At 49.6% G+C, this 25,469-nt stretch overlaps 1 long non-coding RNA gene and 1 other non-coding gene across 2 annotated transcripts, besides 1 other annotated feature; both read right to left on the bottom strand.

Moving 5' to 3' along the window:
* Positions 1–1,078: 1,078 nt before the first annotated feature.
* On the bottom strand, positions 1,079–25,469 carry LINC00334 (long intergenic non-protein coding RNA 334). The gene is made up of 3 exons (NR_135279.1): positions 25,303–25,469; positions 16,183–16,277; positions 1,079–1,358 (listed from the first exon to the last, which is right to left on the bottom strand). It is a non-coding gene; the product is annotated as a long intergenic non-protein coding RNA 334 (long non-coding RNA).
* Positions 3,210–3,761: an enhancer, noted in NCBI's record as "H3K27ac-H3K4me1 hESC enhancer chr21:46675963-46676514 (GRCh37/hg19 assembly coordinates)". NCBI's record gives its function as "activates a minimal SCP1, AML or CMV promoter by ChIP-STARR-seq in primed H9 embryonic stem cells {active_cell/tissue: H9 hESC(primed)}" and the evidence as "EXISTENCE:reporter gene assay evidence [ECO:0000049][PMID:30033119]".
* LOC124905062 (U2 spliceosomal RNA) lies at positions 15,426–15,616 on the bottom strand. The gene has a single exon (XR_007067940.1). It is a non-coding gene; the product is annotated as a U2 spliceosomal RNA (small nuclear RNA).

Genomic DNA, 25,469 nt, shown 5'->3' with positions numbered 1-25,469 from the left:
CTGTTTCCAAAGCACACCAAACTCACGAACAACCCGAACGAGGGGCAGGAGGAGCCCTGGGCCCAGGACTCCACCTTTCAGTGCTTTATCAGCCTCTGTGAGTTCAGGCGCTGTGTTTTGGAGAGAGGCAATGTTAGAGTTCTGATGGCATCCAGCCAGATGCCTCCAAATGCCAATTAAAACAAGCACCCCATCTGGACGTGTATATTTTAATACATAGCCACGGGCCGTTCTCTCGCTTCTGGAGGAGCTGCACCCAACGCTCCTCGCGCTCAGTATCTTTCCATGAGCACGCCCCCTTCCTAGGGCTCTGTGGCTTCCCACATGCTAAGACCCTTGTTTTGGAACCAAGTTCTTCTAATTTAGTTCAGAGAAAACCTAGGTTGGTGTAGCAAAGGAACCCCAGTTTGGCCAATGTAAAAAGGTCCATTGCTCCAGATAAACGGGGCTGGAGTCCAGAGGGGGCACAACTGTTACGAGGTTTAGACGCACAGAGTCCCATACTTAAGATAATAATACTCACCATTGGGAAAATCTCCAGTAAGCAGGGAAAACGTCCTCCAAGCTGAAAGCCTTTGCCGGCACAGAGGCAGCAACTGCCCCCAGATTCCCAAATAAAGGTATCAGCCTCAGTTGAAGGGAGGTGCTGGCCCCAAAGAAGGGGCGCGCACAGGGGCCTCTGTGTTGTGGGGACTTCACCCGATTCCAGAGAAAGCCGCTCAAAGGAGAGATCTTGCTAAGCCCTGCTCCTGACACCAGCTGTGTTCACGAAGAAAAGATTGACACGGAGGTAGAATGAATGACTGCTTATTTGGGAAACAAAGACTGCAGCTTGGGTACACTGAGTCAGCCCTGAGCAGTGTCCTGAAGGCAAGCGCTGGGAAGGCTTTTATAGGGGGTTCCACAAAGGTTGTTTCTGGAGGCCGTTCATTGGCTGGGCAGAAACCCTTAATTACAAACCCGTGCTGATTGTCAGTTGGTGAGGATGCTCCCCGTGGGATGTGACTTCAGCTGTGTGTCCGAGCCTCTGGGCAGGTCCTGTGGACTGGCCGTTAGCAGGTGTGAGTCCAGTCCCCCCGCGGCCGCCCAGCTCACCTCAGAAAGCCTCAGTGATTTCCTTTTGTCTCTCAGTACAAATGATGTCCGGCTGTGCGCAATCGTCAGGAGGCATTTGAGAAACCGGCCAGCACGGACGGGGCGTTAATCATTAGCACGTGCAGCTCAGGGCCCTCCAGCGGCTCCTCATCACCCGGAGGACCCATGTCTCTGGAACACAGCTCAACCTTGCGGGAACAGGACCACCGGCCAGTGTGTGCAGACTGTGTGCAGAAGGTGCTTTTGACACTTAGTTTTGCTATCTAGAAACAGAATGAATAAATGATCTTTTACTTTTCTGCAAGAGGTAAAAAAAAATTGTTTCATTCTTCTTGGGGGTGGGGTCGGGCCAGCTTTGGTCTGTTGAGCTCAGGGGCCGGTGGGACCTGGCCGCGTGGGCAGAGTGAGGCCAGCAGGTGGATGACCCAGGACCGCGGGAGGGGTGGGCCCGGGAAGACCGTGGAGAGGGCCCTGGGTGTGCAGCTGCCCCACCTGCCCGTCCTTTGCTGACTGCAAATCTCCCGCCTGCCTCACGGCTCCCTCCTGTCTGAGATGGCAGAAGGTTCTAGAGTCTCAGAGAAGGCCTTGTCATTGCTGCACATCTGGGTTCTTTCAGGACCGATTGAGGCTTTCCCACAGCTATTGAAACGAAGAAAGGCATCCCGTGGTGCCTGAGACAACAGCCGTGGAGGCTGCTCTGATCCCGCGGGAAGCGCGTGGGCGGCCTCGGCTGTTCCAGGTGGAGCTGCGCCCTTCGCAAACAGCCGGCTTTGCGGACCCTGCAGCCGCCCCACGTGCCCCCGCGGTTTCCCACGAGGACCTGCAGAGGCCGAGGATGGCTCCTGCGCCGGCCAGCATGAGGATCTCATGGGCACTGCGGACTTGTGCTCCTTGGTTCTGGGCGCGGCGCCCTCTCACCTGGTCTATAACCTGCCCTGTGGCTGCAGGCTGGGGTCGGAGGCAGGTTCCCACTCTACAAAGGTGTCAACACCAGCCGGCACATGGGGGTGGGGCAGGGAGCTTTGCAGGCGTGACAACGTGGTCCCCAGATGGTGGTCCAGGGCCAGGACCCCCGGCTCCCCTGTCCCAGGACAGGGCTTTCCCCCAAGACCACAGTGGACCTGAGGCTGTGTGAGCAAGGCTCCCGCGGGCTCTGCGGTCTGTGGCGGCCCAGAGGCACTCGGCAGGGTTCCCCTGGCTGCCCTGGGGCTGCCGAACTGCTCCGGATGGAGGGGAGGTTCTAAGAGACGGTGGGTCAGGGAGAGAGTCCAGCGTCTCACTGTGGAGATGAGGCCCGGGAATGGGGGCAGCTGTGTCTCCTCAACTGTAGCTTCACGTCGGGTTGGTGTCGCTTTGAGGCTCCTGTCTCAGCTGTGCCCCTGCCACACGCTGTCCCTGCCCAGGCCCCTGAGCCCGGCTGCAAGGGCTCTGCTCCCACCCGGCAGGCAGCTGTGCAGGGCAGGGAGGGCGTGTGTGGAATTGTCTTTGAAGCTGGGCTTTGTCCCCTGCTTCTAGCAAGGAATGTGTCTGCAGAGATTATTTTCTTACGATAATCAGTCTGATGCTCTCAGAGCCCAGCCAGGCCTCCGGAGATCTGTGCAGGGCAGATAACCTTTCCTAGAGCTGAAGGGGAAAGAAAGCCACAGCTCTGTGGCTTCGTTACAGCTACAGACTCTCATGGTCACTGGCTTCCTGTGAAGCTGGAGCTTCTGCCACGTTGGCCTGTCAGCCGTGCAGCATCTGGGGGTCCCCCTGTCCCCGGGACGGTGAAGGACGAGGGCTCATGCTCCGGGGTTTCTCCTACTTGGTGGAGGGGGAACGGGAGGGTCAGATCTCACAGCCACTGTCCCGACCTGGAGCCACAAGGACCTGGAGGGGCCCCATGAGGACACGGCCAGGGCCTCCCTGGAGGGGCAGGAGGCCCACGCTCCCAGGTTGCCGGATGAGGCTGGGGTGCCAGGGAGGTGGAGTGGCTCCTGCATCACCCAGCGGTGCGGCCGCAGCACAGGCCAGGCCCAGGCTTCAGGCTCCACAGCCCTTCCTTCAGTTCCCCAGCCCGGGGGCAGCTCTGGTCAGCAGCTGCGCACCTGCTGTGCGCCACCAACCACAGACTCCTCCCCTGCCAGCCAGAGTCAGGGCTGCAGGGAGCCCCTCGGGAGCAGGGGACAGTGTGGAGGGAGAGGGGGATGGGCACAATCAGGGCATCCAGGCCTAAGCAGCCCCCGACCCAGCAGAGCCCCCATCAAGAATTACAGGTGCCCTCACCACAGGCTCTGATGTCCCCAGCCAAGCGCGGGGTGAGGGGAGGCTCTGAGCCTGGTGGGACTGCCAGGCCCCCTGCTCCACCTCGGGGCGGCACCCTGCAGACAGGACCTGCCACGCCTCTGTCCCTGCCATCTTTAGTCACTCCCCTCCATCCAGGCAGCAAGGACCACGTGAGATTCGTCCTGCCGAGAGAGGGCCTGGTACCTAGGAAGCTCATGGGGCTTCCACGGCTGCCCCTCCCGTGAGGCGCCAGAACTGCCCCGGCCGCCACAGGCAGCACTGGGCCCTTCCGTCCTGCAGCCCTGGACTCCCCCGTTCTCTTGGAGTCAGGGCCACTTACTTGGTGCTTCCCACCATCCGTGCCAGACCCCTCAACATGGCTCTCCCCGTGGCACCAGGAGGCCTCCCGGGTCAGCACCTCTGGGCCCTGCCCACGAAGCTGTGCCACCTCCTGAGGCACCTGCCACCCACCCACAACCACCCCAGCACGTTTTCAGCCGCAAGAGAACAAAAGCCTGACCCAAGTTGGCTTTGAAGTTCAAGAGCACAACTTCCACCACTCAAAAGGCAGTGGGTGAGGTGGCCTCAGGCACGGCTGGATCCAGGGACACAGGCGGCACTGCTGGGATCGGCTCCGGGTGTGTGTGGGGGGCACTGCTGGGATCCGCTCCGGGTGTGTGTGGGGGGCACTGCTGGGATCCGCTCTGGGTGTGTGTGGGGGGCACTGCTGGGATCCGCTCCGGGTGTGTGTGGGGGGGCACTGCTGGGATCTCCTCCAGGCTCCTCTGCCACGGTGACAAGAGGGATGCCCCCACAGCAACAGCCACGTCCTCCCACTCCCACCCCCAAGCCTGGCAGGTGGAAGAGCCCAGCAGGAGTCACGCCTGACCCCACACAATCACGTGGCCCAGAGACACGTGGCCACGGCTGCCACCTGTGGGTGGAGTTACCACCCAGGCAGGCAGGAGAGCTGGGCTGGGAGGCGGGGCCCTGGCCAGCTGTGGTTGCAGCTGCTCTCCTGAAGCAGGTGACGCCGCACCTTCGGCTCCATCAGGTGGGGGATCCTGGAAGCCCGTTCACACCCTGCCCCAAATACACTTGTGCAGTGCATGGAATTTTGGAAACTTCGGGACAAAAGCCACGTCTTCCGCCCTGTCTCCTTCCGAGATCGATTTAGTTTTCATTTCACTCTCTCTGCTACTGTGTCTCCTACAGTCAATGGAGCCTCCAAACTGAGGAAACAGCCTCCCCCATTCTCACCCGCCCCCCATCCACCCAAACGCCGAGCACATCCCCTCGGGTACTGAGTCCTATTGCCCCCAAAACCAGAGCTCCTGGCCCCGCCCAGGACCCTCTTCCGTGTCTCTTTCTGTCTCTGTTTCCCCCTTCTGCTCTGTTTGTCTCTGTGCCTCTCCCCTCAGTCACTGTCTCTTTGAGTCTCTCTGTCTCTCCCTCTCTCCCCATCACTCCTTCTCTGTCCCTCTATCTCTCCCCATGTTTCTCTGTCTCTCCCTCTATGTCTCTCCCTCTGTGTCTCCCTGTCTCTGTGTTTCTCCCCCATCTCTCCCTTTCTTTCTCCCTCTCTCTGTGTCTCCCTCTCTCTCCTGCACTCAGGGAAGAACACAGGCAGCACAAGAAAGGGTCGACCCACCCAAGCCCCCAGGCTCCCTCTGCTTTCACAAGGTGGCCCTGCCTGTCCCCTAGCTCCGGGCCGCCAGGCTCCTCCCTGGCCCTCCGACCTGCCTGCCTCTGTTCACCCTTCCCTGGGTTCCCTCAGCAAGTGGCTTCTTCTGTCTGCTTTGTGTTTCTACTCGTGAGCAGCAGAAATTTTTCCCGCAACGCGGCCAAAGAGAAAGACATTTAATGAAACTAAACTTCGTCTCTATGCGTGGCCTCCTGCTCACATCGTGTTGGCGCCGTGTCTCAACTCCCCGGCTGCGTCTGCTTTCTCAGGCACGAGGCTGTGCTGACCCCTGGGAATCGCATTCAAGGGGCTCCAGCCTCGTGCCTCATCACTCACCTAAAGGCCTAACACCAGCTCACTGGGGTGTAAGATTTCAACACGTGAATTCTGGGGGACACCGACACTCGGACCGCAGCAGCCCCAAGGACTGTGGGCCCAGGAGGTTACAACAAATCTTCACCAGATGTTCTGGGGAGGGAGGAAGGTGCATGGGGTGGGGAGGCTAACAAAGGGCTGTGTGGGGTTGGGGTCCTGGGGGCCAGGTGGGCACCGTGGGGCCCAGCAGCAGCGAGCAACCCCTCGAGCACTCACCTCAACGTTCTCTACCAGACCGGGGACGCCACCAGACCGGGGACGCCACCAGACCGGGGGCTCCACCAGACCAGAGGCTCATCCAGACCGGGGGCTCCACCAGACCGGGGGGCTCCACCAGACCGGGGGGCTCCACCAGACCGGGGGCTCCACCAGACCGGGGGGCTCCACCAGACCGGGGGCTCATCCAGACCGGGGGCTGCACCAGACCGGGGGCTCCACCAGACCAGAGGCTCATCCAGACTGGGGGCTCCACCAGACCAGAGGCTCATCCAGACCGGGGGGCTCCACCAGACCGGGGGGCTCCACCAGACCGGGGGGTCATCCAGACCGGGGACTCCACCAGACTGGGGATGCTTCTTGGGCCCCCACCACGGCAGGGAGAAGCTGGGCCCATAAAGTGCATTTTGCAAGTAGAGCCCTGAGCCCAGCCCGCCTGGAACCTTGACCCAGAGGACTGTGGAAGACAATTAAATGAGTGGTTGTTTATGCCATTAAGTTTGAGGGTGATTTGTTCTGAAGCAGCAGCTAATTGGGACACCTCAGGTTATAAAAACGAGAAGCAGGAACTGCTCGGGACCTTGGCGCCCGACACCTCCTGAGGGATTCAAGCCGAGTCACTCATCCCCAGATCCACTTCCAGCAGCACATGAAGCCAGGCTTCCCCTGCACCGATCACCCTCCTGTTTTCAGAAGTGCACGCCCTGCTCCTGGCAGGAATACCCACTTCCTATCTGCGAGTCTCCGGCCCCAGCCAGGAGATCAGCACAGGCACCCAGCTGTCAGAGCAGGAGCCTGGAAGGGCAGGGAACAGGGGTGCTCAGCCACAGAACCAAGACATAGCCCCAGGAGAGCACAGAGTCATCAGGGACAAACTGCTGTGAGTCACTCAGGGCGGCTGTGAGAAAACACCACAGCCTGGGGGCTTCAGCACCAACACGGAGGGATTCTCCTGGAGGCTGGCTCCGAGGTCAAGGAGGGGCAGGGCTGCTTCCTGAGATGGTCCTGGACTCACAGACGCTGTCTCCTCCCTGTGTCCTCACGGTGCCATCCCTCTGCGTGTGTCTATATCCTCACCCCCTCCTCTTACAGGGACACCAGGCAGACTGGGTCCCAGCCACCCTGCTGATGTCCTTTGCCTTAAACATTTATCTATTAAGGTATCTGGGGCACTGCAAGGTTACGTATTGAAGGTGTACAATTTAATGACTTAAGGCCTCCGTTTTAACTCAATCCCCATTTTTAAGCCCCTATTTCCTTTTAAGACCTAAGTCACATTCTGAGGTTCTAGGGGTTAGAGCTTCAACATATGAATTTTGGGGGACACAGTTCTGCCCCGACACCCCTCCCATTGCACACACCGCTTCCACCTCAAGAAGAGGCCAGGGCAGGGCTGAGTCAGTTTAGGGTGGATTCGATGTCCTGCTCCTCAAGGCGGAGGGCAGACCCCCAGCCCACCCAGCCTCCCAGCCCCCAGTGTGGCAAGCAAGGCACGTGTGAGGCAGAGCCTGGACCTGCACGGAGGAGTGTGAGGGAGGCCATGGCGGGTCCAGAGGGGACCCCAAAGATGATGAAGGGAGATGTTTCCAGACCCCCCACTGCTGGGGCCATCTCCTCCCTGCACTCCAGCCCTCTGCCACGGAGTCTTCAGGGAGCGGGGGGCAGCCCAAGCGGGCCTGGGAGTTCAGTGACCCGGCCCCGACAAGCGGGAATGACAGGAGTGAATGGAGGGGCTCACATTTTGGGGGCGCCGTGGAGCCGTGCCTCTCTGCGGGACCATGCGTTCCAGACCCATCAGCCATTACGGCCACCTCTCGCTCCTATGGAAAGGCCTTTTCAGGACACACCAGAGCAGCTTCACGGCCCCGGGTTCACTGCCCTCAGGGTGGCCATGTGAGTGGTACGGAGAGCGGACAGCCCTGGGCCCGCAAGAGGCTGCAAGGCTATCGGCCCCTCCCCTCCCCCCACTGCCAACACGTCCCCACCCGTCACTTTCTAGAAAGGCTTGCACGAACACACATGCTTGCTGACTCCTGAGAAAGGCCGCAATGCTACAGCATGTGAGCTGGTCTGCAGAGAATGCCCCTCAGGAGAACGGGCACATGCCACCTGCGCCAGGAGGCAGATGCCACGGTCTCCTGAGCCACCACGTGGCCAGCAGTAGGCCCAGGCTTGGGGTCTGAGTGTGAGTGGGGCCTGCCTCTGCCCTCCCAGGCCCGTCTCCTCAGGGAACATGGAGGATGAATAAACAGGCACATAAGTGGCCACAGGGACAGGGACAGTGAGACCACATCAGGGAAAGCTGTAGAACAAGTGACGTTCTGCATGCAGGGAGCGGGCAGGAGACACACCACGGTGCACAGGCCTAGCAGAAGCTGGAAAGCAGACAGAGAAGATGAACAGGAAGGCTGGGCCACTGTGTCGAGTCCTTCAAATGTCGGCGGCAATGCAGTTCTCTAATCCTGAGGAGGTGGGCCAGGAACACCCCTTCCAGAATACAGCAGAAGAGATGGGGGAGGAGGCCTCCCAACAGACAGCCTCTAAAACCCGAAAATGCCCAATAACATCACATTTGAAAATCTTTTTGGGGAGAAGGTAACTTGAATCCCAAAAGGCCTGAGGCCATGGAGAAGCGTGAGTCCACCTGGGCACAGCACCGTCTGTACAGGTCCTGTTGATCCCTGCTGTCCAGGATCCTGAACATTAATGAGCCCCAGGCAAGCACAGAGATGAAGCCTGGGGCCTGTGTGAGGCAGGAACCCAGAGCAGAAGCCCTGCAGGAAGCCAGGAGCCCAAAAGAAGGGCCCTCAAGAGTGAGCCAGGGAAACCCGCCAGTCACGGGGAAGTGGCAGGGACGCTTGCTGCGTGAGCCTCGGCTCTGAAAAGAGGAGCAAATAAGAGAAAAAGTCTCGAGAATTTCTACCACTGCCATCCTCAAGTGGGTTCAAGGTTTAAAGCATCCACACCCACAAAATGTACTTCCAAGTGGGCTGCTCGGGTCCTGGCAAAGGCAGGCACAAAGCCTCTGCAGGGATCCACCCTCGGATGCCTGAGAGTCCCATGCATGCAAATGTGATTTCACAACACAGAGGCACCACACGCACCAGGAAGCCGGCCACCATGGGTAAGTCAGCAGAAACAACCAAATGTACAATCAGACTCATCACAATGCAAATAGTGGAATAATCCAAGGCAGAGTATACAGTAATGACGGCTAACATATTTACAGAAATAAGAGAGGGTACTGAAGTGTGACAAAGGAACAAGATGTTATCAAAAATGAAATACAATTAGAAATTAAAATATCATTGAAATTAGAAACATGAATAGCAAATTTGACACACTTGAAAGATAATTCATGAACCGAATGATAAATCTGATAATGTTACACAGAATGCAGCCAAGAAAGCTAAAGAGATAGAAAATCAAAGAAATATGAAAGGACACAGAAGAGAGAATGTACAGGCTTCATCTTTATGTAAAGAATATTCTAGAAAGAGACAATAAAGCATGCAGGAGAGGTCACATTCAAGGAGATGTCAGGTGAGGATTTTCCAGACATAAATCCTCACATTCAGAAGGCCCAGTGAATCCCAACAGGCTAAATCAAAAGAAACCCACATTTGGAGAGTGATGGTGAACCTGCAGAAAACAAAGACAGAGGATGCTGAGTCCCAGGAGAGAAAAGGCAGATGACCCATAAAAGAGCAGCAACAAGGCTGAGAGCCAGCTTCCTTACCACACTGGGTGCCGGGAGGCGCCAGTAATATCTCAAAGCACTTGGGGAAAATACTCTCAATCTAGACTTCTGTTATCTGCAAAACTATCTTTCAAAATTAAGAGGAAAATACAGATTACTTCCAGACAAAGAAAAACCAACACGGTTTACCATAAACACATCTCAGTAAAGGACCTTTGAAGATGAAAAATAATCCCAGAAGGAAAGTTGAAGACACAAAAAGAGATACTGAAGCAAGGGAACCATAAACATGAATAAAGTTAAACTCACTGTGTTAATAATCCTAACACCAGTAACAGCAATAGCCCTGCTTGCTGGGGTGAGAAAAACAAGGTACAGCAAACTACCTTGAGTAGTTTATGAGCAAACTACGTGAGTTTCAGAAACTCTGGATGTTTGAGAAGAATGAAAAGAGACTGAAGACACTGAATAGCCTTAGGCTTTTTTTTTTTTTTTTAAGAGATGGGGTCTCGCTCTGTTGCCCAGGCTGCAGTGCAGTGGCATGATCGTAGCTCACCATAGCCTGGAATTCTTGGGCCCAAGCAATCCTCCCACCTCAGCCTCCTGAGTAGCTAGGACTACGGGTACATGCCACCACACTCAGCTAGGTTTTTTTCCCCCCTCCATATTTTGTAGAGACAGGGTCTCACTATGTTGCCCAGGCTGGTCTCGAAATCCTGGCTTCAAGTGATCCCCTCACCTCAGCCGCCCAAGGTGCTAGGATTACAGGCGTGCAGCATTGCTCCTGCCACTTTAGACTCTAAGATAAACAGTAGATTAAAGTTTTGAGATTCCCCACCAAAACAACAGGAATAGAGAATATAATTCTCAAAGTAGTGTGAAGGAGTGAAAGTGGGATAAGCAGAAAGAATGAATCAACCAAAAGAAGGGGTAAGAAAGGAGAAAAAAACAACAAAAGGATAAATTAGAAAACACAATATAGAGAGGTATAAACAATCCAAATATATCAGAAATCACAATAAATCTAAATAGATACAACTTCTGATCAAAGGCACAATTATGAGATTGGGTTTTTGAAGCTGAGTTATGTGCTGCTTACGGGAGACTCACCGCACAGCCACCGCCAGGGGTGACGAACAGGCGGGCAGGTCCTGCCCTACTGCGGACTGTACGGTTCAACTCAGCATGGGGACTTGAGGATTTTTCAGGCAGGGGCTCCTCATGGCCTCCACAGTGAAGGAGACAATGAAAGTTATCATGTAACTCTGGGGGCGGTGCTTGGATTGTTACAAACCGAAAGGACTGAAACAAGTTTCTGAGGGTGATGACTGGGTTCTCTGCTTGGAGCCTCACCAGGCCAAAGGCAAGGCGATGCCCAGCCTGAGGTCTTGCCTGAGGGTGCTGGGGAGGCAGCAGCGACTGGGCTCCCTCAGGTTCTTGGCAGAAGCCAGCTCCTTCTATGCCAGCAGCAGCAGCAGCCAGTCTCCCTCATGCTTCGAGTCCCCGCCTTCCCCTCCTGCCCCCTCTCCTGCTGTCAGGGACTCACATCGCCCAGAGGATCCAGGCTCATCTACTTTAAGGTCAGCTGATTAGGAATCTTAATGACATTGGCGCAGGTCCCTCTTGCCAAGCAACGCAGCATTTTCACGGGCGACCTCACTTCTGGGACGGCGTTTGCCGAGGCTGGAATTCTGCTGCCCACACCTGGGAATAGAGCTGGTGGCCCTCCCTCTCAGATTTCCCAAGGGACAGAGCTGGAGGTGAGCAGAGGTCAGATTCAATTCCAGAAAGGGAGCTTTATTAACCCTTTACTCACAGAGATCAATGAACCAGTGGGGTTTTTGGTTCTAAATATGCAGAAAAATATCATTTCCAAGTATAGTTCCTCTCCTTTTATCACCAAACTGCCCTCTCCTGCATTTATTCTGACATTGGGAGTTAGGCTGAGTCAGGAAGCAAAGGCTGCAGGCGGTGGCGCAGGTGAGCCCGGCACTGCAGGACAGCTTTGTCCTTCTCTCTGTTGTAGGTATTCATCTGTACCAAGAGGAAAAGTGACTCCTAAGACCTCACTGTCAGGTGTCCTTAATCAATCGATTTTCTGATATTCATCGATAGCTCATTGATCAGTAGCACAGAGTCCTAACACAATTGGATAAAGCCAAAGCACCGGCTCTGGCTTTAGCCCAGCTGACGTGAATCCACGCTCAGCCCTATGCCCCTGTGTGATTTGGGGCTACTTGCTTCTCTAACCCCAGTTTCCAAAGCTGTAAAATAAAATAGGGCTATTCCGTGGGTTGTCATACAGATTATGTGTGAAAATTCATGTTAAATGCTTACTATGGTGCCCGGAACATTAAGAGTTCAGTAGATGTCAGCTACTGAGTATTATTACTAAAAATAACACATCTTCTGAAATTACAGCTTTTTAAACAAGTCAACTATGGCAAAAATAAGTATCGGGCTGATGAGTGATGTTTTCTGCTCAGCGTCATACAGATTTTCTTTCTTTCTTTTATAAGATCCATAACTTCTTTGCATTAGGGGTGTGGTTTTGGTTTACAAAATTCTGGACAGCCTGAAACTCCTGATTCTCTTGAACCACCTTGAACACAACCTTTTTTCAAACAATCCTTTAAACATTTTTGTGAGTTTTGGTAACACAGAGCAAAAGTCATAAAGATGTGTCTGTGCTTTGACCCAGTAATCCTACTCCTGGGGATGCAGCTTAAGAACAAGAATCTCACCTGAAACAAAACCACCATGGAGATGTTCATTATGACATCACTTAAACGAAAAAACAACTATTTGACTAAATGTGCAATAATGGAGATGTTTTAGTAAATTACTGTACCTCTCCTAAATATACAACTAGGCAGTATTGAAAAGTATAATAAAGTTAGGCATGTAGAAAGGTATATCGACTTGAAGTGAAAGGGAGAACATTAAAATAACACAAATAACACTTTTTTTTTTTTGAGATGGAGTTTTGCTCTTGTTGCCCAGGCTGGAGTGCAATGGCACGATCTTGGCTCACTACAACCTCCGCCTCCCGGATTCAAGCATTTCTCCTGCCTCAGCCTCCTGAGTAGCTGGAATTACAGGCATGCACCACCATGCCTGGCTAATTTTGTATTTTTAGTAGAGACGGGGTTTCTCCATGTTGGTCAGGCTGGTCTCGAACTCCTGACCTCAGGTGATCCACCTGCCTCGGCCTCCCAAAGTGGTGGGATTACAGGCGTGAGCCACCGTGCCTGGCCACAAATAACACTTGTATAACCATTCGATGACTCCATGGAATGCAAGGCGTGTGCAAACCTACACCAGTGTCATGTGGGTGGGTTACAGAGGGCTGCCTTATATTTAGGCTTATCTTTAATATTTCTGGTTGCTTGCTTCAAGAAATTTAAAGAATACTTTCTGATGATTACATTGCCATTGGCATCTGTCATGATGTATCCATGAGATAAGACTGCTCTGAGCACTGAGCAGTTGGTTGAGTTGGAGACGCCCTCTAAAGCCGTACACAGTTAGGACTCACTCCGCATGACCCCAAGAGTTCATCTGCAGATGTGTGTGGGCACAAGGTGCCTCCCCTATGCTCCCAGCAGCCCCCTCGATCATCTTCTCCCCACGCGGAACAGAAGACAACTCCGGAAAGGTGAATTGGCAATGTCTGCCTTAAAAAAAGCAGGAAGGCAAAAAACGCTGTCAGGCCCCACAGCATCACAGAATTAACTTCCACAGCGGAGAGAAGTCAGCTGGGGCCGGCTGAGGCTGTCCTCTCCACCCCATTACCCTCACCATTAATGGGGAGGATTCAGACTAAACTGCACATCCAAAGTTTCTGTAGATAACCCATTTCTGCTTGAAGCAGATTCCCCTGCCATTAATTCAGGGAGGGTTCACAGCGTGCTGCAGTTACTTTGCTTTGTGAGTTAATGTCCCATAAGCTCAAACTTGTCACCAGGCTAGACACAGAGGATGTTTACCTCGCCTTCTCGACTGGCTGTCCTAAAACACCTGCTCCTGTGGGTGCTGGTGGCTGTTAAGGGTCATTGGGTTGGGGGGCTGAGGAGGCGCTGCTTGCCCCATTTTTCTCCCCCGTCTGCCCCTCCCACACCCTCTTATGGCCACACCAGAATGTCATGCTGCTCTACCAAGACCTGAGGCTCTTCGTGTGGGGAAGGGCACACAATCTGGCTTCTGCTCCCTCAGCTCACGTCCGTGGGAGATGGACTCCATGGTCACACATGACGTCAGGTCAGATGAGCCCCTTGTTTCAGGAATTCTTAGAGCCAGTGGGGGCATTACGACTGTAATGTGCAGACAGAATTCTTTTCTCCTACTGAACAATGACCAATCTTTTACAGTATTAGTGACAGCATCACAATGAAGAGGACGTCTCTGCACACCTACAAGGCTGGCTGTCCAGGAACCCAGTTCCATACCTCGTATCACTCCTGTGGGGGTTTTGAGGTTCTGCCCTGGAAGGACTTGGGGTACTGACCTTGGACTTGGGGTGTCAGAGGGTTGAAATCCAGCAGGGCTCTGATACCCTTGCCTGGAAACAAGTCTGAACCCGCTACCCAAACCAGCTTCCCACTGCCTCCCCACAGCTGAACTTATCCACCCCAGGGGCCTCCCCACCCCATAGGAGCAGAGCCTCTTACCACCACTAGCCCTTAGGCGCAGAGCCCTTCACCCCCACCCCATAGGCACAGAGCCCCTCACCCCTCACCCCCACCCCATAGGCACAGAGCCCCCCACCCCTCACCCCCACCCCATAGGCACAGAGCCCCTCACCCCTCACCCCCACCCCATAGGCACAGAGCCCCCCACCCCTCATCCCCACCCCATAGGCACAGAGCCCCCCACCCCTCACCCCCACCCCATAGGCACAGAGCCCCTCACCCCCTGACCCTCACTCCATAGGCACAGAGCCCCTCACCCCCACCCCATAGGAGCAGAGCCTCTTACCTCCACCACTAGCCCTTGACCTGCACCCAGAGCTTCACATGACTTTACCCTGAGCTGCCAAGGGCCAGCGCTGGGGATGGAGATGGTGTACGGAGCTAGAGGAAAAAGGGTTGGAAACATAGCCAGTCCACCTTGTGATATCTTAACATCACCCAGAAACCTGTGACTTGTAATGACACTGAGAACTCAATTCAGAAGGTGTCGTGGCCCAGAAATGCACAGGGGCCAGTGCATAACTGGGCCATCTTAGACCCTGTGTCAGCAGACATCTCGTGTGCCTGCTGGTCTCCCTGGCTCTGCTGTGGTGTGGGCCAAGCAGCCACTCAGGTTCCTGCTGACCTGCCTCGACCAACTCAGTGCAGCCAGGCAGACCAGCCACATGCTCCACCTGCCACTTCTGTGTCCTCATGAGATGCCACTCTGCAGCATGGGGATGTGGTACCCAGAGCAGCTGCTGAGGAGGCTGGGAATGCAACCCAGGGCCCCTGATTCCCTGCGGGGACAGCTCTGACCAGTGGAAAGTAGCCGCCAGAAGAGAGCCAGAAGATACATTCCGTTCCCCTCCTGTGGAATCCCTGGAGCCATCTTCCCATGCAGCTGACCCAGAGGCATCTGCCGAGCCAGGTCACTTCAGCCCCTTATGAAACAGCAGCCAGCACAGTTGAGACTCACATCGCATCACTGCAGGGAGGTCCTTCCTTGCCTCAATCTCTCGCACCTCACTCTCACAGTCCTGGGTTTACACTTCCCAAATAAAGCCCCAATGCTTTACATCCTTGCCTCAGGCTCTGTTTTCTAGGTTAAGACAGATCCAAACCAAAAGGACATAGAAAGTGAAGAATAGCCTTGGGGATTATAATTCTTATACTATTGCAGATAAGATGCCCTGAACAACCCTCCTGAATAAAGTAAATAGTTGAATTCAAAGAAACTTATAAAACATACCACAGATCATTCATGAAAGCAAATAAACCACAAGGAACAAAGAGAGGGAAATCAAGAACCCCAGGAGACAAGCCATGCCAAATCCAACTTTCAAATCCAGGTTTTCTACAGAACCCTGCAAACACTGAGCAAGTCTGACAATGATAGAGGGCTGAGAGGAGAGGAAATAAGCCTGAGGATCTTCCCAAGGTGGGAAAAATAGAAGAGGACCCTTTGTACAGCAGAAACTTCAAACTGTAAATGAAAAATTTCATGCAATTGTACATAGACATGCAGGAAATGTTCCTGTCTCAGCCCTAACATTAAACTGATAAGAAAAGATACTCCACTTGATCTTAGCCAAAAGGCCAAGATACAGTTCAGCAGTAACATTGAGGAAGGAGAAAAAAATACCCCAAGAATTTATAAACTCAAGGCAGACCTCAATGAAGTTGATGATCCAAATTCAGTCTAACTTTGTGTGGTCCAAATTTTAAGTTGATTTATTTACAAAAATAGTCCTATACTGGAGACACCTCTTCCCCCCTCCCATCAAGGTGACAAGTTGAAGGAAATACAAATCTTTCTGGGGAAAATTAAGTCAAAGACTCAAATAATTCCAACTAATATATTTACAAAGCAAATGAACAGTTCACAATCAAGAATAAGAACAAAGGAAACAAATTACTATAAAATTCGATGTCTGAACAACAGATTTAGACACAGACGAAGAGAGAAACAGTGAACTGGAAAACAGATCCAAAGAAATTACATCAGAATGCAGTCCAGAGAAACAAAGAGACAAAACACTTAAAAACAGTTGAAAAACCATGGATGATGGAAACAGAGAACCTAACATACATGTAAAAGAGTTTTTGAAGGAAATAATAGAAATAACACGAGAGGCAATATTTAAAGAGACAATGGCTGAGAATTTTTCAGATACCTTAAAGACACTGGATAGATTCTTCAAAGAGTCAGGAAGCCCAATACATCCAAAGGAGGAGAAATCAAGGAAACAGAAAATATTTTAAAATAGCCCTAAAGAAAAAAAAACAGATTATTTACAAAGGAATGACAATTAGATTGTTGACATCTCATTAGTATCACAGAAGCCAGAAAGTGGCATAATAATTACCTAAATGTTTATATCTCTTCCAAGACTGGAGAAATTTTCAGCTATTAGTTCATTGAATAAATTTTCTATGCCTTTCCCCATCTCTTCTCTTTCTGGAATTCCTAAAATTTGAATATTTGTTCACTTGGTGGTGTTCCATATGTCACACAGGATTTTTCTTTTTTTCTTTTGTTTTTTCTTTTTCTTTTTTTTTTTTTTTTTTTTGAGACGGAGTTTCACTCTTATTGCCCAGGCTGGAGTGCAATGGCACGATCTCGGCTCACCGCAACCTCCAACTCCTGGGTTCAAGCGATTCTTCTGCCTCAGCCTCCTGAGTAGCTGGAATTACAGGCATGCGCCATCACACCCGACTAATTTTGTATTTTTAGTAGAGACGGGGTTTCTTCATGTTGGTCAGGCTGGTCTCAAACTCCTGACCTCAGGTGATCCACCTGCCTTGGCCTCCCAAAGTGCTGAGATTATAGGCATGAGCCACTGCGCCTGGCCGTTATTTCTTTTTGAGATGGAGTTTTGCTTTTGTTGCCCAGGCTGGAGTGCAATGGTGCGATCTTGGCTCACTGCAACCTCCGCCTCCCGGGTTCAAGTGATTATCCTGCCTCAGCCTCCCGAGTAGCTGGGATTACAGGCATGTGCAACCATGCTGGCTAATTTTGTATTTTTAGTAGACTCTGGGTTTCTCCACGTTGGTCAGGCTGGTCTCAAACTCCCCACCTCAGGTGATCTGCCCGCCTCAGCCTCCCAAAGTGCTGGGATTACAGGTGTGAGCTACTGCACCCAGTCTTTTCATTGTTTTTTTTTTTTTTTTTTCAGTCTGACTGGGTTATTTCAAAAGCTTTGTCTTCGGCCAGGCATGGTGGCTCATGCCTGTAATCGCAGCACTTTGGGAGGTCAAGATGGGAGGATTGCTTGAGCCCAGGGGTTTGAGACTAGCCTTGGCAACATAGTGAGATGCCATCTCTACAAAAAGTTTAAAAACTAGCCACGTGTGGCAGGGCACGCCTGTAGTCCCAGCTGCTCAGGAGGCTGAGATGGGAGGATCACTTGAGCCTGGTAGGTTGAGGCTGCAGTGAGCTGTGACCATGCCATGCAGCCTGGGTGACAGAGCAAGATTCTGTCTCAAAAACAAAACAAAACAAACAAAAAGTGCTCGTTGCTCTGTCTTCAAATTCAGAAATTCTTTCTTCTGCTTGATATAATAGATTATTGAAGCTCTTGGTTGTATTTTTGGTTCACTGAATTCTTCAGTTGCAGGATTTCTGTTTGGTTCATTTTATGAAATGTATTTCTTTGTTGAATTTCTCATTCAGATCATCAATTGTTTTCCTGATTTCTTTGTTTTGTCTTTCTGTATATCTTGCTAAGACTTAAGATTATTATTTTGAAATTCTTTTCAGGCATTTCACAGATTTCCTTTTCTTTGGGGTCTGCTGCTGGAGAATTATTGTGTTCCTTTGAAGCTGCTGGAGAATTATTGTGTTCCTTTGAAGCTGTCATGTTTCCTTGCTTTTTCATGTTTCCTGTGTCCTTAGGTTGATAACTGTGCATCTGTTGTAACAGTCACTTCTACCAATTTTATGAAGTAGCTTTCTTAGGGAAATACTTTTCCTATAATTGTATCCATAGTGTCAGTTGGGTAGGGTACTTTGGCTTTAATTCTAAGTGGGTGCTGTAATGTAGTCTCTGTATGATTTCTGTGGCTGTAATCAACGTCAGTGGTATCTGCAAGTTCCTCGGTAGCTTAGGCTGTGGCTGTTTCTGGAGGCTGTGGTGATGCTTTGCTGGAGGCTGAAGTGCTGTGTAAGCTAGTCCTCATTACCCTGGGTGGCAGCATAGGCACTGGCTGTGGTGGCAGAAGGCCCTTTGCATACTGGTCATTGAACCCCTGGGCATCTTACATGGGTGTTGATGATACCAGTGATGGGCTAAGCAGGTGCACCCTCAGGCCCCCCGTGCTAGTGGTGGTGGCAGCAGGCAGGGCTGGCTAGCCCTTGGGCCTGTGGATGACATGTGCAGGCACAGGATTGTGGAAGACATTCTTGACTTACTCTTTTTTAGTATTTATTATTGTCCATTTTTCCAATATTTTGTTGGGGATTCCAATTATGTGTATGTTACATTTCCTTTGCCTGTCACCTCACAGTGTATGAGGGTTCTCTTCTTCACATCCCTGCCAGCATTCATTATTGCCTGCCTTTTGGATAAAAGCCATTTTAACTGAGGTGAAATGATATCTCATAGTTTTGACTTGCATTTACCTGATGAGCAATGATATTGAGTACCATTTCATATGCCTGTTTGCCATTTGTATGCCTTCTTTCGAGAAATATCTATTCAGATCTTTTGCCCATTTTTAAACTGGATTATTAGCTTTCCTATTGAGTTGTTTGACCCCTTTATATATTCTGGTTATTAATCCTTTGTCCAATGGATAGTTTGCAAATATTTTCTCCCTTTCTGTGGGTTGTCTCCTCACTTTGTTGATTGTATCCTTTGCTGTGCAGGAGATTTTTAACTTGATGTGATCCCATTTGTCCATTTTTGCTTTGGATGCGTGTGGTCGTGGGGTATTACTCAAAAAATTTTGCCCAGTCCAGTGTCCCGGAGAGTTCCTCAGTGTTTTCTTTTAGTAGTTTCATAGTTTTGAGATTTGTCTTTGTCTTTCATCCATATTGATTTGAGTTTTGTATATGGTGAGAGATAGGTGTCCAGTTTCATTCTTCTGTATAAGGATATCCAGTTTTTTCTCAGCACCACTTATTGAAGAGATTGTCCTTTCTTCCAATGTATATTCTTGTCACCTTTGTCAAAAATAAGTTTACTGTATGTAGATGGATGGATTTATTTCTGTGTTCACTATTTTTTTTTTTTTAGATGGAGTCTCACTCTGTTGCACCCAGGTTGGAGTGTAGTGGTGCCATCTTGGCTCACTGCAACCTCTGACTCCTAGGTTCAAGCGATTCTCCTGCCTCAGCCTCCCGAGTAGCTGAGATTACAGGCACCCACCCTCACACCTGGCTAATTTTTTGTATTTTTAGTAAAGACGGGGTTTCACCATGTTGGTCAGGCTAGTCTTGAACTCCTGGCCTCAGGTGATCCGCATGCCTTGGCCTCCCAAAGTGCTGGGATTAGAGGCATGAGCCACTGCAACCAGCCCTGGGTTCTCTATTCTGTCCCATTGGTGTGTGTCTGTTTTTATGCTGGTACCATGCTGGTTTGGTTACTACAGCTCTGCAGTGTAAGTTGAAATCAGGTAATGTGATTCCTCCAGTTTCATTTTTTTCTTAGGATAGCTTTGGCTATTTTGGGTCTTGTGTGTTTCCAGATAAATTTTAAGATTTTTTTTTCTATTTCTGTGAAGAATGTCACTGGTATTTTGAGAGGGATTGCATTTAGTGTGTAGACTGCTTTGGGTTGTATGGGCATTTTAACAATACTGGTTCTTCCAGTCTATGAACATGAAACATCATTCCATTTTTTTGTGTGTTCTCTTCAATTTCTTGCATTGATGTGTTATAGTCTTCACCATAGAGAACTTTCACTTCTTTGGTTAAGTTTCTTCCTATTTTATTTGTAGCTATTGTAAATGGAATTATTTTCTTGATTTCATTTCCAGATTGCTCACTGTTGGCATACACGAATGCTACTGACTGTTGTAGGTTGATTTTGTATCCTGCAACTTTGCTGAATTTATCAGTTCTAATACTTTTTCAGCACAGTCATTAGGTTTTTCCAAACATAAGATCATATCCTCTGCAAACAATGATAATTTGACTTTCTTTTCTAATCTGGATGCCCTTTATTTATTTCTCTTGTCTGATTGCTCTAGCTAGGCCTTCCAGTGCTATGTTGAATAACAGTGGTGAAAGGAGGCATCTTTGTCTTGTTTCAGATCTTAGAGGAGAGGCTTTCAGTTTTTCCCCGTCAGTATAATACCAGCTATGGGTCTGTTGTACATCGCTTTTATTTTTTATTTTTTCTAATCATAAAGGGATGTTGAATTTTATCAGATACTTTTTCAGCATCAATTGAAATGATCATATGGTTTTTGTTCTTATTCAGGAGCATATTGTTTAATTTCCATATGTTTGTATAGTTTCCAAAATTCCTCATTATTGATTTCTAGTTTTATTCCATTGTGGTCAGAGAAGATATTTTATATACTTTCATTTTTTTGGAATTTTTAAAGGCTTGTTTTGTGGCCTAACATACGGTCTTGAGAATGATCCACGTGCTGAGAAGGATGTGTATTCCACAGCCATTAAATAAAATATTCTGTAAACAGTTATTAGGTCCATTTGGTCTACAGTGCAGATTAAGTCCAATGTTTCTTTAGTGATTTTCTATCTGAATGGTCTGTCCAGTGCTGAAGGTGGGGTGTTAAGTCTCCAGCTATTATTGTATTGGGGTCTATCTCTCTCTTCAGTTCTAATAATATTTTATATATCTGGGTGCTTCAGTGTTGGGTGCATATGTACTTACAATTGTTATATCATCTTGCTGAATTAACCCCTTTATCATTATATAATTACCTACTTTTTCTCTTATTATAGTTTTTGTCTTGAAATTTATTTTGTTTGACGTAAGTATAGGGCCTCCTGCTCTTTTTTGGGTTTTCCATTTGCATGGAATATCTTTTTCCATAACTTTATTTTCAGCCACTGTGTGTCTTTATAGGTGAAGTGTGTTTCTTGCAGGCAACAGACTGGTGGGTCTTGTTTTTTAATCTTTTGTTGGAGAGTTTAGTTCATTTACTTTCACTGTTATTATTGATAAGTTAAAGACTTACTCTTGCCCTTTTATTATTTGTTTTCTGGTTGTTCTGTGCTCTCATCTTCCTTCTTTCCTTCCCTTCTGTCTTTCTTTTAGTGAAGGTGATTTTTTCTTGCGGTACGTTTTCAGTTCTTGCTTTTTATTTTTTGTGTATCTGTTGTATGTTTTTTGGTTTGAGGTTACCATGGGGCTTACAAATAATATCTTATAACTCATTATTTTAAACTGATGACAACTTAACACTGGTGCATAAACAAACAAGCAAAGAGAAAACGAATAAAAACTCTACATTTTACCTTCATCCTCCCACTTTTTAATGTTTTGATGTTTCTCTTTAAATCTTATTATACTGGCTGAGCACGGTGGCTCATGCCTGTAATCCCAGCACATTGGGTGGCCAAGGTGGGTGGATCACCTGAGGTCAGGAGTTTGAGACCATCCTTGTCAACATGGTGAAATTCCATCTCTACTAAAAATACAAAAAAAATTAGCCAGGCGTGGTGGTGGACACCTACTCAGGCGGCTGAGAAAAGATAATCACTTGAACCCGGGAGGTGGAGGTTGCAGTGAGCCAAGATTGCGCCACTGCACTCCAGCCTGGGCAACAAGAGCAAAACTCCATCTAAAAATCCTCTGTGCTATGCCTATTCACTCCTCCTGCTCTCAAATGCCTGACTCCTGCTAGTCTTTTTACTGTTTCCACAGTTTTGACTTTTTTCAAAATGTCATATAGTTGGAATCATACAATATATAGCCTTTTCAGATAGACTTATTTCACCTAGTAACATGCATTTAAGGTTCCTCTACATCTTTTCATTACTTGCTAGCTAATTTCTTTACAGCACTGACTGATATTCCATTGCCCAAATGTGCCACGTTTCATTTATCCATTCACTTACTGAAGGAAGGACATCTTGGTTGCTTCCAAGTTTGGCAATAATGAATAAAGCTGCTATAAACATCCGTGAGCAGGTTTTGTGTGGACCTAAGTTTTCAGCTTCTTTGGAGCGCAACTGCTGGACCATATGGTAAGATTATATTTAGTTTTGTAAGAAACTGTCAAACGGTCCTCCAAAGTGGCTGTACCATTCGCATTCCTACCAGCAATGAATGAGCGTTCCTGTTGCTCCACATCCTCACCAGCATTTGGTGTTGTCAGTGTTCTGGATTTTCGCCATTCTAATAGATGTGTAGTGGCATCTCATTCTTGTTTTAATTTGCACTTCCCTCATAAGATTTGGAGCATCTTTTCATATGCTTATTTGCCATCTGTATATCTTCTTGGGTGAGGAATCTCTTAAATTATTTTGCCCATTTAAAAAATCAGATCATTTTCTTATTGTTGAGCTTTAAGAGTCTTTATTGATTTTAGATAATGACCCTTTATAAGATGTGTCTTTTGCAAACATATTCTCCCAGTCTATGACCTGTCTTTTCAGCCTCTTGGCTTTATCTTTTGCAGAGCAGTTTTTAATTTTAATGAAGTCCAGCCTATTGTTTCCTTCATAGATGTTGCCTTTGGTGTTGTACCTAAAAAGTCATCACCAAACCCAAGCCATCTAGGTTTTCTCTAATGTCACTTTCTAGAAATTTTGTCGTTTGTAGTTTCTGTGATCTATTTAGAGTTAGCTGTTGTGAAGGGTTTATGATTTGTGTTTACATGCTTTTATTTTTTCATGTGAACATCGAGCGCCATTTGTTGAAAACACTATCTTTTGTCCATTTTATTGCCTTTGTACTTTTGGCAAACATCAGTTGACTATATTTATATGGGTCTACTTCTGGGCTCTCTATTCTGCTCCACTGAGCTATTTGTCTGGGAAACAAATAGCTTGCACTAGGCTAGACACTCCAGACCTCCTCATCTGCCATGGCCTCATTCCTGGGAGCCCCACCCCTTGATTCTCAGCAGTTTACATCCAGGGTGGAGAGGTGCTGGGTCACAGGGCCTGACAGCCATGTTCCTCTGGGTGGCAGTCACTCAGCACTTGCTTCTCACTGCCCAGCAGAGCAAACCCAGCTGCACATCGGTCTGACTACCACTTCTACTTTCACTGTACTTCCTTTATCCAGCCCAAACGCCATCCCAGCCAAGACTCAAAGTGTGAGTTCCATCTTGACACCCTGAAGACCAAGCAAGGGGTGGGTGGCCAGGCTTTACTGTCTTTGTTTTGCAGAGGAGGAGGCTGACTGAGGTATATGGGAGCAAAGCTTTAAGCCCAGGTACCTTGATCCCCAGACCAGGGCGCTTCCACTGTCACCCGTTTCTCCCTGAGAGGTACATGCACTGCAGGGTTCCTTGAGATAGCCCCTCCCTTCCCTCCAAATTGTCCCAGTGCCCTGAAGGTCTGCCCACTTTCAGGATTCCTGGGGCTGGATGGGTCTGAGAAGCCAGGCTTCTGTTATGATGTCACTGACCTCATGGTGCACGGCGTGCCCTGTGTGAATCCCAGGGCTCCAGCCCCACCCCTGCTTGCCTGGGCAAGGGCTTGACATGAGGGATGCACAAGGTCACCTGAACCACCAAGGAGCTGGGGTGGGAGAGCCTGCCCTGAGGCAGGGACAACAGGGTGGCCCCTCCTGGCTGCTGCCACACTCACTGGTCACTCCAGGCATGCGCCTGGTTTATAAGCAAATTATCCAGGGCATTTTTCTCTCCAGGGCCCAAACATATTTCTCTACTACTTAAACAGAGGTAAATTGAATCCACTTAAAAGTACCTGCAGCACAGTTCCCCCCACCTATTTTTTCCCTCGGTTTTGTCGCAGAAAGAGGAGGCACCAAGGAGGCAATCACAGCAAAACTGAGTGACAACACAATGAATTCTAAAACAGAGGCTTGTCCCTTCAATGATCAAATCAGATTTGTCCATGGCAATATTCATCTTCAATTTAAACACAGACAGGTCATCCTCAAGAGATTACTTCCGCCTCAATTCACACAGGACAGGTGATGGGAAGCGATAAGAAACTGTGTCATATCCCCAAATACACTGCATACTGACCCACAGATGGGTGAAAGGGGTGCGCAGCTCTCTGCTTGGCAAGTGACAATATTCAACGGACAGTCAGCATTTTTGCTCTAGAATAGCTACATATAAAGCAATTTGACACATGCCAGGAAGAGGCGATCTTCTGCTTATCCTTTCAACGATTTTTAAAAATAAACTACTTTATAGGATTACATAGCATGAACTGACGGTTTATGAGGGAAGTTCTAGAATAAATAACAATGTACTCATAAGAAATGGATTTTTTTTTCTTTTATAAAAGGTAAACACCCAAATGAGATGGGTTCGCTATCTCACCGGGACACCCAGGCATCCATGCTAAGCTGATTAGTTCCAGGCCAAAGGAGAAAAACAAATAATAGTTTGAAGGTCGCCCTCCTCTGATTTTGTGTAAAAAATATCCCGGCTCTGCATAAGCCCTTCTGTCCTCATTCTCCAGTTCAACTGCTTGAGGTTTGCTTTTCTGAGAAGAAATGTGTTCTCCATATAAATGAGGCTCGGGCGTGGACAGTAAGGACACACACACAGCACAGAGGCTCTGGCCTGGACCCCCAGCCCCAGGAAGGGCCCTGCAGCTCAGACGACATTCAGTGCCCTGCCTGCTGGTTTGCCGCACTGGCTGGTGCCAGGCCTCGGGGGCAGGCAGGCTGGGGTGCACTCTAGTGTCTTGAGAAGCTCAGGATTGGCTGTAAGTCCACCACTGAGTGCTCTGGTTTGGGGTGACTTACCCCTTTGCAGACGAAACCTGAGAAATAGCACCCCGTCCTCAAGGCAGCCCCAGAGTCCTGCAGCCGGGCTGGGCTGGAGAAGAGGCTCACAGGGAAGCGGGCTACAAGTTTTTGGTTTTGCTCCTAATCTCTGAATTTTGAAAACCCGTAACCCCTCATATGCGTTTAGCTCACAATTCAATTTTTAAATTATACAGTTGTTTTGTTTTATAGAAAGGTTGTGATTTCTGTCCTAAATATTGATCTTTACAAAAAAAAACCTTTTGGTCCTCCTTTACATGTCCACGTTTGTGGCTCCTTCCACCGTGGCCACACCAACCTCTGCCTCCCCCTTCTGGGCACCCCTCACCACTCATCCCCGACACGGCCCCAAACCCCAGCCCTCTCTCCGCCCCAGCCCCTCCCTGCGCCCGGCATCACCTCGGGCCACCTGGGACCTCTGGCAGTTACCCTCGAGTCCTCGCGGTGACTGAGACCCCCAGGGCAGGATCCGTCTCCAGTTTAGGAAAAGCTCTAGGAACCAGTGGTCACTCTCAAAGGAGAACCCACGACCTGTGTGTGGCGGGGACTAGGACTCATCCGGGTCT

Source organism: Homo sapiens, chromosome 21 (assembly GCF_000001405.40).
Source record: "Homo sapiens chromosome 21, GRCh38.p14 Primary Assembly".
In the NCBI taxonomy this organism is placed as follows: Eukaryota; Metazoa; Chordata; class Mammalia; order Primates; family Hominidae; genus Homo; species Homo sapiens.
Note: the sequence above shows the minus strand (reverse complement) of the source record. Positions and strands in the feature narration are given on the sequence as shown.